The 15,998-nt window shown below is 44.8% G+C and overlaps 1 protein-coding gene across 4 annotated transcripts in view; it reads right to left on the reverse strand.

Moving 5' to 3' along the window:
* The window catches only part of UNC5C (unc-5 netrin receptor C), a 386,470-nt gene that overhangs the window by 17,141 nt on the left and 353,331 nt on the right, over positions 1 to 15,998 (reverse strand). For all 4 annotated transcript variants that reach the window (NM_003728.4, XM_005263321.4, XM_047416346.1 and 1 more), the window contains 2 exons: positions 5,403 to 5,552; positions 3,253 to 3,417 (listed from right to left, as the gene is read on the reverse strand). In NM_003728.4, the coding sequence (NP_003719.3) occupies positions 3,253 to 3,417; positions 5,403 to 5,552 (315 nt within the window). The remainder of the gene's footprint in view (positions 1 to 3,252; positions 3,418 to 5,402; positions 5,553 to 15,998) is intronic.

The following is a 15,998-nucleotide window of genomic DNA, read 5'->3' on the forward strand; positions in this document are numbered from 1 at the left end:
GCTGAGGCAGGAGAATTGTTTGAACCCAGGAGGCGGAGGTTGCAGTGAGCTGAAGTCGTGCCACTGCACTCCAGCCTGGGCCACAGAGCAAGACTCCTTCTCAAAAAAAAAAAAAAAAAAAGAAAAAGATGACTGACTAATAAATACTGCCCCCTAAAACTGCACCTTTTTTCAGGGTTCAGAGCTTTCAAGTAAAGCAATGTGATAAACCAACTTGGGGATACATGCTACCTTCTTTTCTCTGGGAGCTAATTTTTGTTTATATTTAGTTTTCATTTATTTATATAGGATCTGAGTTTTATTTTTGTGTTTATTTTGATTGATGATAGAAAGAAAATCTGAAACCTCAATTGATGACAGACCCCCCCCACGGATTGAAGTAGCAAAGTTGACTCAAAAGCCCTGTTATCCTTATGGCATCAGTGGCACCAGTAAAAATGGTGAACATAGATTAAGCATGTGCTCTGGGCCAAGTTCTGTTTAGAACACTTACTTACTAACAAACATTCTCCCATTTAATTCCCACACTGGCCCAAGATAATATTCTATACCAATTTACAATGGGGAAACTGAGGCAAGAAAGGATTAAGTAATTGGCCCTATCTATCTCCATGGAACAGCCTACTTGGGAATTTCCCATGATGGATGTCTGCCTGTAACTGAAACAAAATAGAAGATGTGAAAAAACTGTAAATTTATCATCTGTCCTCTGCACCATGTTTTCTTTTCTTTTGGAGATAATGAGTAGCTTCCTGGTTACTCTCTCTGCACTTGTCTATGAAACCAACAAACAAAATCTTTTATCATCTTTTACATTTTGACATTCATTTGTGTCAATACAGTTAGTTAGTCTTCCAGACATTTTCCTTCTTAAACTTCATCTCTGTGAAATTAATTAAAGCCTTTGTCTCTAGTTAAGGAATCCCTGGCTAAATCACCCAGAGACAACTGGCTGGCCCTTGAAATAATCAGAGTACATGTCACGCACAGCCTGGTCTCTGGGGTGGGCAACAGGTCCTCTGTCTGACAGGACAGGCCAAGGGCTGTGTAGCTTTATAAATGACGACTGGTGAGTGCGTCCGGTGGTGGGTGGCTGGAGGGAGGGGCAGCACATTTCTGGCAAGCCAGCTCATTCCTGGGAGATAGGACATTGGAACGGGAACCCCAGCCTCATTGCCATCTTGCCCTGTGACCCTAGGAAGGAGCCCTGTTCAGAAGAAAGAAACCACAAATGGAGCCTTTTCTCTACTTGTTTATGGTTTGTCAATCATCTTGTACCCTTTCTTGAAGGTTTTGTTGAGGATCTGGGTCCCATAACTCTACAGAGTCCATTGTTCTTCAGCGCAGAGGCTTCCTCTCCAACATCAGTACACCCATCCACACTCCCTCCTCTGCGCACCCAGCACCCGCATTCAAATGCTAACCACAACAGTGGGATTCAGTGACCCAGAAGGAAAAGCCGCAGAGTGCCCCTTAATCCCCCAAAGTCATCTTGACTCCCCTCACTTCTTCCCCGCCCTCAGTTAAATATGCTTGTCTGTCACACAAGGGCAGATGCCTCTGACATGACTGAAGGCTGGTCTCTTTGAGCAGACTGACACCGTGTTGCAAAAGAAGTAATCTTTCCTCTGTGTTGCCATAAGAAAGCAAAAGCCCTTAAATTGTGATCACACTATGCAAAACTGTCCTTTTTCTGAAGGGAGGTGGCAGCCCTGGCGCGGGAGAGCACAGAGCAGCTCTCTTTCATTTGTGGCTGCATCTGATCCACCTTTTTAACACGCAGCCAATGTTCATGTGGAACAGAAAGCAAGCATCAAAGGACCAGACCCCCTCACCCCCCTCCAAAATTCCGCAGCCTTTGTTGTCACTGGAGCTGGGTGGTTATTGAACTTTGCAGACCTGCTGGGCCTGGAAAGTGAAAACACCCTCCCGAGCCAGCAGGGGTGGTGCTGTGTGCCTGGGAGATAGGGCTGCGCATCCGAAGGCCTGGCGGTTGCCATGGCACCCTGACACCGAGATCATTCCTTATGAATGTCACCGGGGGCTGTGACTAAAGTTGTTTATGAGTCAAAAGTCTCATGAAACTACAGGAGGAAATGATGACCGCACCTCGGCAGGCTGTGGGAAAGAAAGAAGGATGGAGTGTAGCGGAAGCTGATGTGCTTTTCTCCCCACTCGGTTTGCTAAGGAAGATGGTCTTTAAATATGACATGTGAAGCAAGACAAGCTGAACATGCTGACATTGCATTCGTCACTGTGCATGACACAACGAGGGAGAGGTAGTATTTTAAATCATATACTGGCCCGCTGTCATTTTCACATATGACAATCTTGTGCTTTGTGGCTTAGCACGCAGCACAGGGCTTAGCTCCATGAGGCCCCAAAGAGGCTGCCTTCTGCCCTTTTGGCTTCTTCTCTTCCCTTTGTTCCTCTGGTGTGAAGGGTTATCAATTTTCAAGGCTTTGGATCCAAGGTAACAGATAAGGAAGGTCATGGGCACTTCCTCTTTCCTTAAGGAGAAGTTTTAGATAGCAGTGATCACTATTATTTCTGTAATATGGACACAGGGAAATAGCCAACTGAAGTGTGTGAAGATCACAGCAAAGGAAGGCAAAGCTGATGGCCACAGGGGGGAAATACGGAGATTCTACTTCTATTTGTGGCATATTTCCCCCATCCCGGAGGAAAGTGTATCTCTCTTTATATTTAGAGAATGATAGAGAGAAAGGAGATCAAGAGATTTCTCCTTTCTTCCTTTGAATGGAGAAGAAGAAAAAGGGAGCAGAGAAGCCCCTCTCCTTTCTTCCACTCCACCCAGCAGCAGGTGATTAGGGGAAAGGGAGGAGAGTTGCTGAGAAAGAAGCAGAAAGGGAGGAGAGACAGATGGAGGATGGGGGAACATGGCACGCTAAGGGATGCATGGGGAGAAGTTACTCCATGTGCACGCTCCTTAAATTAAACCTTTACTTGAAATTCAGATCTGTTTTTACAAGTTAGAACATAATTCTTAAAATTCATGTCATAAAAATTAAGACTTGTTTTTCAAAAAGGATCCCTTAATATATATATATTTTTTTCTGCAGCTAGCTTCCATTGCTCATTACAAATATTATTCTATTAACAAATAGGATCTATAGAAAGCTTTTGAGGACTTCCCATATGGACTATGTTGAGATACCCTTTTAGCCCACACACTCTGTCTTCCTGAGTGTCGCACTCTCCCCTGATTTCAGACAGACAGGAGCCACTTACCTCTGACACGGTGCAGTTGAGCTGGAAGATCTGCCCTTCTCCTTCCACCTGCCGCACACAGAGTTTGCAAACCAGCTCCACTGTGTTCAGGCTAAATCTTTCCAGAGTGAAGGTGCAGTGCAGGTTTCTTTGAGATCCACTCCAAACATGGTAAAATGGAATTTCCTAAAGGATATGAAAGTGTTAACCACAATTGAAGGACTAATACCAAAAATAACTCTCAGATGGTCTGCTGCCAGGTACTCTGAGTATCACACCTGTGGCCTCATTTAATCCTCACAACAGCCCTATGTTTAAGTACATCCTGGACCCTTATCACATGAAAAACTTGAGGGCCAGAGAGGTTCAATAACTTACCCCAAATCACACAGCAAGTAAGTAGCAGGGCTGAGATTTGAACCTAAGGAGTCAGCCTCCAGAATCCATGTACCTAACCAGTCTGCCACATGTCTCTAATTTACAACAACAGGAACCATTGTAAATGATTAAAAAAAAAAAAGAGTTTATACAATTCCCAAAATAAAACTTGCACACACCAGCCATTGCTCATTAATAGAATCCCTGTCGTGACATTCTGGAGAAAAGCAAAGAAAGTCTAAAGGATACTGCACTGATGTGGCTCCCTTTCATGCTTTACATCCTCCTCTGCCCAGGACAGGGGAAGCCAAAACCCACTACAGTTGGAAACTTCAGACTCAATTAGCTGCCACAGAAAAGTTCTTGGCACCAAGCATCGAACAGGCTTTAATTTTCTAAAAGTCTAGACCACCTTACAGAGCCTATCCTAGAATCTGTTTTCAATAAAGGAAAGAAAAGGTTGCCACATAAAAAATGGGAGAGCATGGCTGTAAAAAGCAGTGGCTTCGGAGCCAAATCCAGTACAAATAAGAACCCCTTATTTCGCTTACTTGATAACCTGGGGCAAATTACTTAATCTTTCCATTGCTCAGTTTTCCTATCTGCAAAAGAGTAAACAAAGAGCTTCTCATTCGTAGGTCTGCTGGGGTTAAATGAGCTAAACCAATGTATGAAGAGAGTGTCCAGCAGATGGTAAGCATTCGGCCAGGCTTAGCTTTAACTAATATCATATTATCATTATCATTAAAATAGTATTTTCTTATAATTGTATAAAAGAAATTACTCCTAAAACAGGGAGATTTATAGTATTTTATGACAACTGCAACACAGAGGAAAGAAGAAAGCAAAGAAAGAGGTATACTGAGTAAGTCAGAAGCCTTCTGTCTCCATCAAGGACTGAGCTGTGCATAGAGAGTCTGGCATGCAACCTCCGTCAAAGCTCATGATTGTTAACAAACCAGTAGGCTTGTTTCCCATAATTTATGTGTAGGAACTAGACCAATGAGAGTGAGAATGGAGCCAGAATGTCTTCCCATCAGTCTTCCAGTATGTTCATTGGCTTACATCAGGAAATAGCTACCAGTTCAGAGGCAATGCTGGGGTTTGGGTTGAATTTGCATAAATATCAACATGGATTCACAGCTCTCTAAATATGTCTGCCCCTCCTAGGATGGCATATGAGGCTTGCAATCCCGCCAAAGTGGTTTTCTCAAGAGCTCAGGCTGACGGATGAAGGAGGGGAAAATTCCTTGAGGGTCATGTGATTTTCCCCCAGGTATATACAAATGACACTTGGGACCAGTATTTTCTTGTCTCTTGTTTAATAATATCCTGATTGGGTTTTACTTTTACATGCTATTTCAGTTCTCCAAAGTAGGGCTCCCTCTAATTTTTCAATGTAAGGGTACTGGCCTAGGAAGGCTGAAGCCTAATTTGTGTCCCATGGAATAAAAATGTCCTTCTGTTTGTTTCTGTGAATGCATTTCAAGCTGTTTTTACCCATTGATGTGAACATTTAGTATGAAAATTAATTGAAATGATGGATTTGGAAGCCTTTCATTTATTAAAAATAAAACAATGATAGTACATTTATTTAAAGGAAGAATTTTTAAAAAGCATTCCCTCAAATATGTCTGTGTTTCTCAAAAATCCTAAATAACCCCAAACTATTTTGGAGAAACAAGTAATGACATATGATTAATTTCAAGGAAGGGGATTTCCTATGTCTATATAATTTTAGACCTCTTTCTTAGAGATGTCTCCAGACCTTTTGTTCGGCTTGGGAACCTTACCTGATATTTAGCCAGCAATTTGCTCTTCCAGAGGGAATGGGCGATATCGTGAATTGACAGGCGCAGGTTGTGGGTGCTGCCTTTAAAATGAAGAGCCTTAGGTTCTTCTAGGAGCTGTCCTCCCATCTGTCTCTCAAGATGTAAAATTTCCTATAATGACATGCCCCAAACCCAAAGCACGTTATTGATTTGGATCACTTCTGTCAGCTCTCTCATTGAATAAGTTTCTTTACTGCCTCCTGAATGGCAGGCGGAACTTGTGCAACACCTTGAACACCCACTTTTGCAGCCTCGAGACCCTCTAACTAAACTAACTAAAGCCCCTCCCATTTTGTATGGGACCAGACCCTAATAACAAACTATGTTTTGGCAGTCTACATCACACTGTTGAGGAGCAATTTCATACAGTTTGCCCTTTACCGACTGATGAGTGGAGTATTTATCAAATATGGGGGAATAACATCAGAACTCAAAACCAGAGAGCCATAAATTAAAGAAAAAATAGGTAGAAATGTAGACAAACTGATTGATAAGAAAGTAGATTTTCAATTAACTTTTACAAAAAGGGACAAATAACTAGAAGAGATACTCATTCCTTGGACTTGATAAAACCAAACAACAAATAAAAAATTAGAACCTGTTTTAGACATTTAGTTCAATCTCTTATAGTTACTTCAAGTACAGAAATAAAAATATAAAAAGTTTGCTTAAAATGATTTATGCATAATTCCCAATTATTAAAAAAATTAGAATATGCTAATTATATATTCTATTAAAGGAAAATATTCCGATACAGATTAGGAAGGTTTTTAAACACCAAATATTGAACTAAACAGTTACTCCAATTACATTTTCAAAAGAATATTTTTGTTTCTCGAGAATTGTGGCTGATGAAAAAATTTGCTACATAATTTTCTTATACTATACAGATACAACATAAAGACAGATTCTATATATACTTCCATTTCTCAGGCTAGTTAATGGGAGTTAATGAAGCATTTCCAACTGCAGCTGTAATTATCCAAACAGCAGCAAACCATTAGTTATCAATGAACAAACTATCTTGGGTCTCCTCTGCTGTCTGAACCATCCCTATGCACGTTACTCCTCTCATGCCTTAAAAGTTTTAATGGTACAAATACACAGGAAATTTGTGACCCATTTTAAAATAAGGGTCCAGGAATATATGGATTTTAGAAAAAAAGCAAAATATAATTTTTTCTTTGGTGCTATTTCAATAAAAAGCAGGGAATTCAAGAACACAGGTGTTCATTCAGACTGTAACATGCATGGATTGGGTACCCACCAGGGTACCAAGCACAGGTGGGTCGCAGTGGAGGATTTCAGGCATGGGAACCAGATTGCCTCATATTCAGAAAAATGCATCCACCTTGCATTTGTTGAACGAATTCTAACCCATGCACTTGTAGAGCAGTAAGTGTGGTGGCTACCACGATCATTGATTACATGCAAACAGCTCATTTCAAGATGCTGCGTTAGTGGTTCTTAATATCTGTCATCTTTTGGTGAGGCAACTATTCTGAACCATGCAAGCTGCTCGAAGGTCCTATAAGGTGTAAAAAAATATTAGGATAATGTGGAATGTGGTTTCAGACAGGGCGTCCTCTAGTTAGTATCTAATGGAAGAGATGAGGCAATAGCACACTGACGTAGACAAGTGTGTGGTCCAGCTGCCTGAGAGTATTGACCTGCTACTTAATGTTGCTGGCTGATGAGTAGCTATGGCTTGTGACAGGAGCCCGAGCAGTCAGCCAGCCCCCAGCCACAGTCAGCCAGACACCTTGACACATATGTTGTGTCATTGTCCCCCTAGTCTGCTGTGCCTGAGCTCAGCAGGCTCCGAGGGTCTCCCGTAGGCCATACAGACCCATCCAGCCTTGAGTCACACACGCTCCTCACAGAACGTGGCACACCCCACTCCATGACACCCCACTCCACGACAAGAATAGAGCCATGTGGAAGTGGAGAAGAAGAAGAAAAGTGAGGGTTAATTGCAGTTTCTTCTGCTTCAGCAGGAAGGCATAATGAGCTTATGTTGATCATGTTTGGTGTCTAGTTAGCATAATAGAGAAAGCTGATGTTCCCAGTGAACCTGGCACCTGACAAATTCTAAAGCTAAAATGATGTTTGTTTATAAGCCATTAGAAGAAAAGAAACATAATTAGAAATCTTTGAGATTACAGTCATGCCAATCAATCAGTTCCAGCTTCTTTCTTTCCATATGCCCTAATTACCTCATCAAGACGTCTAAAGAGCAATCGATAGTAATTATCTGATTACTATAGATCTTCATTATGTCGAAATTATCTCCCTGGGATGTCTAAAAGAAGATGCATTGTATTCCAGGAGGTAATTGTACCCAACAATGTATAATCCACACCCCATTCCTACAATCAACATAGACTGCCAGAGGATATGAAGAGCATTATCAGTTTTCTTGGCAGGCAGGACATTGAAAAAAACCCAAACTGCCTATTGGCCATGACCTTGAAGTCAGGAAATCTAACACGGCATTTTGAGTGCAGAGTCTTCATGGGAGTCAGCCCAAGAATCAGGCTCAGTTTTTTGTTTCTTCAGCAATGATTTGAAAAGTCATGGTGAAGAATTCTCCCTAGTGGGGAAAAAGCCTAGACTGGCTTGGAGGAGCCCTTTTTTGGATAGAAAGTACCAAGTGCCATTTTAAAGACAGTGGGGCCACAGAACACACTCCTTCCATAGACTTAAGCTCGCCATTTCTCCATCACCCAGGAGTGACACAAAGCTGCAGCACAGGGCTGGAAGGAACCTGACTTTTTTCTCCCTTCCAATGGGACATAAACCCTGGGGAAAGACAAACTGCCCATCAGGACACACCCATGCTTAGAGCAGAGGCTATAAACATGTTTGCCAGAATAGTCTACCAGTCAAAACATTGAGCATGCATATTTATAAATTACATATCTCTATTATCAGTATGTTAATATATTGCATTATAAAATATACATAAAATTTAAAAATACATAAGATCCTGTATTAATCTGTCTTAGCATAAAGCTAAGTACTAATACTGTATTTTTTTTGGTCCCAGTGGTTCACTGGGCCTGGGGTGTGTAAACTCCATATTGGAGACTGCTGGCTCAGACAGCTTGTCCTTTCACTAGTACCTGGGGAAGAATTCAGCCCAGCAGTGAAGGATTCAGTAACCTTACCACACTTAACACCCCTTCCCGCAAAGTGGCAACTGGTATCGTTGCACTAAAGACGTTCATGACATAGGAAAGCATAACAGAAAAAAGGAGAGGACAAAAACCATGGTGTGAGTTAAAGAGATCTCAGTCGATCATCCAGCAACTCCTGGGAAACGAGTATAATCTAAAACCACACAGGAACAGGAGCTGACTCGTCACATACGGCGAATCTCAAATAGAGTTTTGTGTCAGATGATAGAAGAAGCAAGCCTGCCCGAAAGGCTAATCAGGCTTTGTCTTGTGTTACCATTTTAAGTGTTACAATTTGAGATTTACTCCAGCAGATTCCACTTAAAAATATGCTGCAACTTGTATTTCACACTGCTTGATTTTCTGAATTCTTCGCACATGATCTCATTTTGGTTATTTATATGATACAGATATGTAAGAGGACAGAAAAATAACAAATATACAACTCAATAAGACATGGCTTTACAGTTCAATGTTTTCCTCTGCTTCCTCTCCCTGGGAACATTCATTCAACATCAGTGAGACACGTTAGGCTGCCAGGAACCATGTCAGGTCTGGAGCACACAGACAAGTAAGTCCCTGTCACTGCTTTAAACTGCTAATGGGCTAATGGTTCATGGGGGTTGGGGGGTGACCTGTAAACATGTAACCACAACACAGTGTGCTCAGGTCTAAAACCACTTCCAGACAGGCTGCTCTTGAATCACAAAGGTTAGGATATTTCACACACCTTAAAATAGAATATGAACAAAATATATTTAATGTCAGAAGATTTAGGAAGACTTAAGAGAAATATCGTGACCCTGGAAAGAAATGCTATAGTAAGGATGCGGATCATCTGGCCTCTTTGTTCTCAGAAACCTGAACGTCAAGTTCCTTTGCAGAAGTTGTCCTTCCTACTGGGAGTTCCCCCACCTCAGTGGCCTAGTTTGGCTCTAGGTGAATCCACCTGTTGCTTTGATGAGCTTGTTTTGCTTCTGTGAGAAGGGAGACAGTTTCTGACTTCCTTTCACAGTTCTTTTATTCAAAATATTTTTAGACACCTTCTTTCTTGCTCTGTAGCACAGGCTGGAGTGCAGTGGCGTGATCATAGCTCACTGCAGCCTCGACCTCTGTGCTCAGGCAGTCCTCCCACCTCAGCCTCCCAAGTAGCTGGGACTACAGGCTCATGCCACTGCACCTGGCTACTTTTAAAGCAATGGCAACAGAAGCCAAAATTGACAATGGGATCTAATTAAACTAAAGAGCTTCTGCACAGCAAAAGAAACTACCATCTGAGTGAACAGGCAACCTACAGAATGGGAGAAAATTTTTGCAATCTACTCATCTGACAAAGGGCTAATATCCAGAATCTACAATGAACTCAAACAAATTTACGAGAAAGAAACAAACAACCCCATCAAAAAGTGGGCGAAGGATATGAACAGACACTTCTCAAAAGAAGACATTTATGCAGTCAACAGACACATGAAAAAATGCTCACCATCACTGGCCATCAGAGAAATGCAAATCAAAACCACAATGAGATATCATCTCACACCAGTTAGAATGGTGATCTTTAAAAAGTCAGGAAACAACAGGTGCTGGAGAGGATGTGGAGAAATAGGAACACTTTTACACTGTTGGTGGAACTGTAAACTAGTTCAGCCATTGTGGAAGTCAGTGTGGCGATTCCTCAGGGATCTAGAACTAGAAATACCATTTGACCCAGCCATCCCATTACTGGGTATATACCCAAAGGACTATAAATCATGCTGCTATAAAGACACATGCACATGTATGTTTATTGCGGCACTATTCACAATAGCAAAGACTTGGAACCAACCCAAATGCCCATCAATGATAGACTGAATAAAGAAAATGTGGCACATATACACACGAAATACTATGCAGCCATAAAAAATGATGAGTTCATGTCCTTTGTAGGGACATGGATGAAGCTGGAAACCATCATTCTCAGTAAACTATCACAAGAACAAAAAACCAAACACCACATGTTCTCACTCATAGGTGGGAATTGAACAATGAGAACACAGGGACACAGGAAGGGGAACATCACACACCGGGGACTGTTGTGGGGTGGGGGGAGGCGGGAGGGATAGCATTAGGAGATATACCTAATGTAAATGAGGAGTTAATGGGTGCAGCACACCAACATGGCACATGTATACATATGTAACAAACCTGCACATTGTGCACATGTACCCGAGAACTTAAAGTAGAATAAAAAAATTTTTTTTTTGTCGGGACAAAGTCTTGCCTTGTTGCTCCTTGAACTCTTGCACTCAAGTAAACTTCCCACTTCAGCTTCCCAAAGTGCTGGGATTACAGGCATGAGCCACTGCGCCCAGCCCCCCTTGTACAGTTCTATCTGCACCCCTCTAACTTTTCCTTGCAAAGACACCCTCAAGAGTAGGTCATCAATAAATGTGTCTGTAGCCCATGCACATCTACACACGCGAACCATCAGTCACCAGAAGCAGGCCACCTGCCTCAGAGCCCAGCGTCCGCCAGGGATCTGAGCAATCCTGTGGGAGGGCCTCTTTCCCCACTGCGGGCGCTGCCTCCAAAGCAGACTGGCCGGCCCAGAGTGAGGGCTATATTGATTCAGGGAGCCTGTGAGGGATTGCTCCAAAGGCAGGACAAGAGATTCCACAGTAGAAACAAGCAGCTTTCACAATAACCAATTAAACCAAGACATTATCCATGCCAAGCCATTAGCCTGGGCCACTTAAGAGCCACAATAAATCCAGGCTGTTTTAAAGGCTTGTGTGCACAAAGGAGGCACCTCTGGCCTCTACCCAGAATGCTCCCAGGCTCTTAGATGAGAGGATCTCCCCTCGTTAAGGCTTGACAGAGAGGCAGGAGGGAGGATACATCTGCGAGCCAAGCCACTCCTCCACTCTGGTCTGTCCAGCCCCCGAGTTTCCCACTCTGCATTATGTCCGGGTTAGATTTCATCTGCCTCATCTGCTTCTCTTGTTGTCTCTCTGCCTGTTCCTTCCATGCTTGGGCAAATTTCCATTAAGTATCAGGCTTACAGCTATTGCTCACTGGGAGCCCCCAGGCAACAGAGTGGCATATACTTGGATGCTTTGAAGTATATCTATTAGAGTATGACAAGTCTGCCCCCAGGGTCCAGGCTGAAGCTGGGTTACAGAGCCCTGCACAGTGGTGATTTTGTGCCAAAAATTGTGAGGTGCTAGGGTCCCACAGCGGATCTGGTGGGCTAGTGCTCCGGACCCTGGCTTTGTTGCCTACACCCTCTGCTCACCCTCCCCACCAACCCCACTTTGTGCTCACCCTCCTCCTCTATTCACCTTTCTCCCCTGCTCTCCCTCCTTCCCTGCTCGCACTCCTCTCCTGCTCCCATGCTCACCTGCTCCTCTGTTCGCCGCCTCCTCTGTTCACTCTCCTCCCCAATCACCTCCTCCCCTGCTTACCCTCCTTCCCTGCTCACCTCCTCCCTTTCTCACATCCTCCTCTGCTTACCCTCCTCCCCTGCTCACCTCTTCTGCCCACCTTCCTCCCTTCTCACCTTCTCCCCTGCTCACCTCTTCTGCTCACCTTTCTCCTCTGCTCAGCCTCCTCCCATGCTCACCTCCTCCCCACTCACCCTCCTCCCTTTCTCCCCTCCTCTGTTCACCCTTCCCCCTGCCCACCTCCTCCCCTGCTCACCTCTTCTGCTCACCTTCCTCCCCTGCTCACCTCCTCCCCTCCCCCCTGCTAATCCTCCTCTCCTGCTCACCTCTTCTGTTCACCTTCCTCCTCTGCTCACTTCCTCTGCTCACCCTCTTCCCCTGCTCACCTCCTCCTTTGCTCACCTTCCTCCCCTGCTCACTTCCTCCCCTCCTCCCCTGCTCATCCTCCTCCCATGCTCACCTCTTCTGCTCACCTTCTTCCCCTGCTCACCTCCTCCCTTTCTCATATCCTCCTCTACTCACCTCTTTTGCTCGCCCTCCTCTGCTCACCCTCCTCCCCTGTTCACCCTCCTTTCCTGCTCACCTCTTCTGCCCACCTCTTCTCACCTCCTCCCCTTCTCACCTCCTCCCCTGCTCACCTCCTCCCCTGCTCACCTTCTCCCCTGCTCACTCCTCCCTTGCTCATCCTCCTCTCCTGCTCACCTCTTCTGCCCACCTCCTCCCCCCTTCTCACCTCCTCCCCTGTTCACCTCCTCCCCTTCTCATCTCCTTCCCTGTTCACCTCCTCCCCTTCTCACCTCTTCCCCTTCTCACCTCTCCTCCCCTGCTCACCTCCTCCCCTGCTCATCTTCCTCTCCTGGTCGCCTCTTCTGCTTACCTCTTCCCCTGCTCACCTCCTCACCTTCTCACCTCCTTCCCTGCTCACCTTCTCCCCTGCTCACCCTCCTCTCCTGCTCACCTCTTCTGCTCACCTCTTCCCCTGCTCACCTCCTCTGTTCACCCTCCTCCCCTGCTCACTTCCTCCCCTGCTCACCCTACTTCTCTGCTCACCTCTTCCTCTGCTCACCCTTGCCCTGCATAACAACTTGCCCCTCTCTCACTCCAGTGCCCCAAAATTGCACCACCTTCTTCCTCAAGGCATGTGTTATGCCTTCCAGTTTTTCAAGGGGCAGTTATGCTATTTGTGGATTATATGATCCATAGCTTCTTTCTCTCCCTCTCTGCCTCTCTCTTGTTCTCTCTCCAACTACTTTTCTGTCTTTCTTTTCTTTCCCTTTTTAGAAACCATACAGGCTAAAGAAAGGATGAAAGAAATGATTAAAGTTAAGTCTCATATAACCCACTGAAATCTCTCTTGAAGGGAAGGCTGGAAGGCGATGAAATCCAGGATGTGTTTCACTCTGCTAGCTTCTTTCTTTATATTGTTTCTGGATGTTATTTCTCCAGGCAGTCTTCATGTTTGAGAGAAACACAGAACCATGCATTGGCTGGATTTACTGCTGCCACGAGGCCAGGCATCAGCAGCAGAAGCATGAGCAGGTGGAGGTAGCTACTGAGGGAAAGTCGCTGAGATCGCTACATGGAGAGGACAGCACAGAAGGCAGGAAGCGAAGCAGTGGCCAGCCTGGCACTCTGGCTGTTTTTTGCTTTGGTTCGGCTTTCTGGCTCCTGGAGATAGAACCGCTCTCCGTGCTGGAGCCGGCACAGGAGGCTGAGTTGTACTGCAGCGGTGCCCCACCTTCACCTTGATTCTGGGACACAGACACAAAGAACAGACCAGCAAATGTGCAGCATGCCACTCATATGAAACTTCAAAAGGCCAGCCCTCAATGACTGTGCTGGCTGGTGTTTAAAAAAAATCACATCTGCCATCAGATTTCATGGAACCTGCCTTTCTTCTGTTCATTATCATGTGTCGAAAACCTGCCCTTGTCATTTGGGGCTGAGAAATCTGTGCCTTTGCGATGGTGGCTGTCACTGCTGTCTCTGTCACAGCTGTGGGGGCCTGCACTCCACCGAAGCAGAGGCCAAAAAGAGCGGCCGCCCTTCTCTCCTGTTCTCTGCCAGCTTTTCGGCGACGCTGCTGTCAGCCCCCCATGCTCTGTCCCCTCCTCTCCGGCTTGCAGGCCTCAGACTGCTGAGCCAGGCAGTGGAGAACATCTGACTGTCAGCCCGGCCTCTCCCACCTGCTCGGGTCGCCATCCCTGGCGCCCGGCCTGGCTTTGCTCCTTTCCCTTCCTGTGTTCACGCCAGGGTGCTCTGCTCTCCCCCTGAGTTTGTCTGCCTTACTTCTTCCCTAATAATAACAAGGCTGGACTCTGGTGCCCATCTGCAAACATCTCCCCGTCAAGTTGCTTCGTTTCTAGGGCTCTGCCTGCTGTTCCCACAGCTGCTGTGGCCACGGATGCTTGGTCTGAGCTGCCACTTCCAGCCTGCACAGTCAGGGCAGTTTGTGACACTTTTAAAGCCAAATGCCAACGGGTGGTGCTCAGGCAAGCAGCGTGTCACTTGTCTACCTCTGGGCGTGCTCTTAGGACAACAGTTCTCTCTCACATCTATGTATTAGGAACAGGACTTTGTAGGTTTTTCTAGGACTTTTGAAGTCATCTTGTGTTTCTTTTCTCCTGTTAACACATTATTTTTAAACTTCTATATTAGTTTTCTACTGTTGCCATAAGAAATCACCACTAACATAGTGACTTAAAAAATAACACAAACTGATTATCTCACAGTTCTGGAGGGTGGGAGTAACACAGTTCTCGTTGAGTTAAAATCAAGGTGTGTCAGTGGGGCTGCCCTCCTCTCCAGAGCCCCGAGAGGAGAATCTGTACTGGGTCTTCTCCACCTTCCAGAGGTTTCTCACATTCTTTGGCTCACGGTCCCCTTCCGCTGTCTTCAAATCCAACAATGACAGATTTCTCTGAGCCTTTTTCTGCAGTCATATCCCTTTCTGACCATAGCTGGAAAAAGTTCTCCACCTTCAAAACCATGTAATTAGACTGGACTCACCCAGATGGTCCCGGATAATCTCCTGAAATCACACAATCATATCTGCAAAGACTGTTTTGCCATGTAGGGTAAAATACTCACAGGTTTTGAATATTAACCTGTAAACATCCTTGGGTGGGGGCAGGGGTGTTATTCTGCATACCACAACTTCTGTTTTCTTTCTGTTTTCTCTCTCTTTCAAAAAGTAAGTTCAACATGGCAAGTCATTTCTAAGATAGGTGATAGACCCAGGGCCAGATTTCATCAGAAGATGATAAAAATGGGGTAAATTTAGAGGCACCAAAAATATCCCTGTGACTAAATGTCTAATCAACCAGACCGCTACCAAACCTGAAACTCACCCCACAGTTAGATTCCAGTTAGATTTAATATCTTCCTTAAGCCATTATCTTCAAAATGCCACTGAAGTCTAAATGCCCACATACGCATGGCAAACAGTGTCTGGTGTCTATTTTGTGCCAGGAGATTTAATAACTTTGATGTCCTTAGAACTTCAAAGAGTCCTTGATGCAGACCAAATTACTGTCCTAAGAGGTCAAATTCAGTGACCAGGGCCACCAGGCTGATAAGTGGCACAGCCAGTCACGGCAGCCAGCCTGACTCGAGCTTTGCTGCTGTACCACGCTCCCTCCCATACACACAGCAGCAATGATGCACTAGGAACCTTTAACACACGTTTTGTTGTTGGTCTCTAATTCACATGTTGCACATGTGAATATATTAGTTTAACTCCAGAGGCCAGGATCCTGAAAGTATACAGGTAAGGCTATTTTTGAGGTTGTTTGTGGGAACTATAAGAGTAGGTATGGATACTAGGATAATTCCAGGGAAGATCAGCCTTAGAAGACCTAGAAGAAGCAAGCGTGAGGAGTTCAGAGTTCGGTAAGGTCACAGCTTGCCGAGGAAATGCCAGGAGGACATCAGTGAGGAATGTGACAGGTAGCAGG

This window comes from Homo sapiens, chromosome 4 (assembly GCF_000001405.40).
Source record: "Homo sapiens chromosome 4, GRCh38.p14 Primary Assembly".
Lineage (NCBI taxonomy): Eukaryota > Metazoa > Chordata > Mammalia > Primates > Hominidae > Homo > Homo sapiens.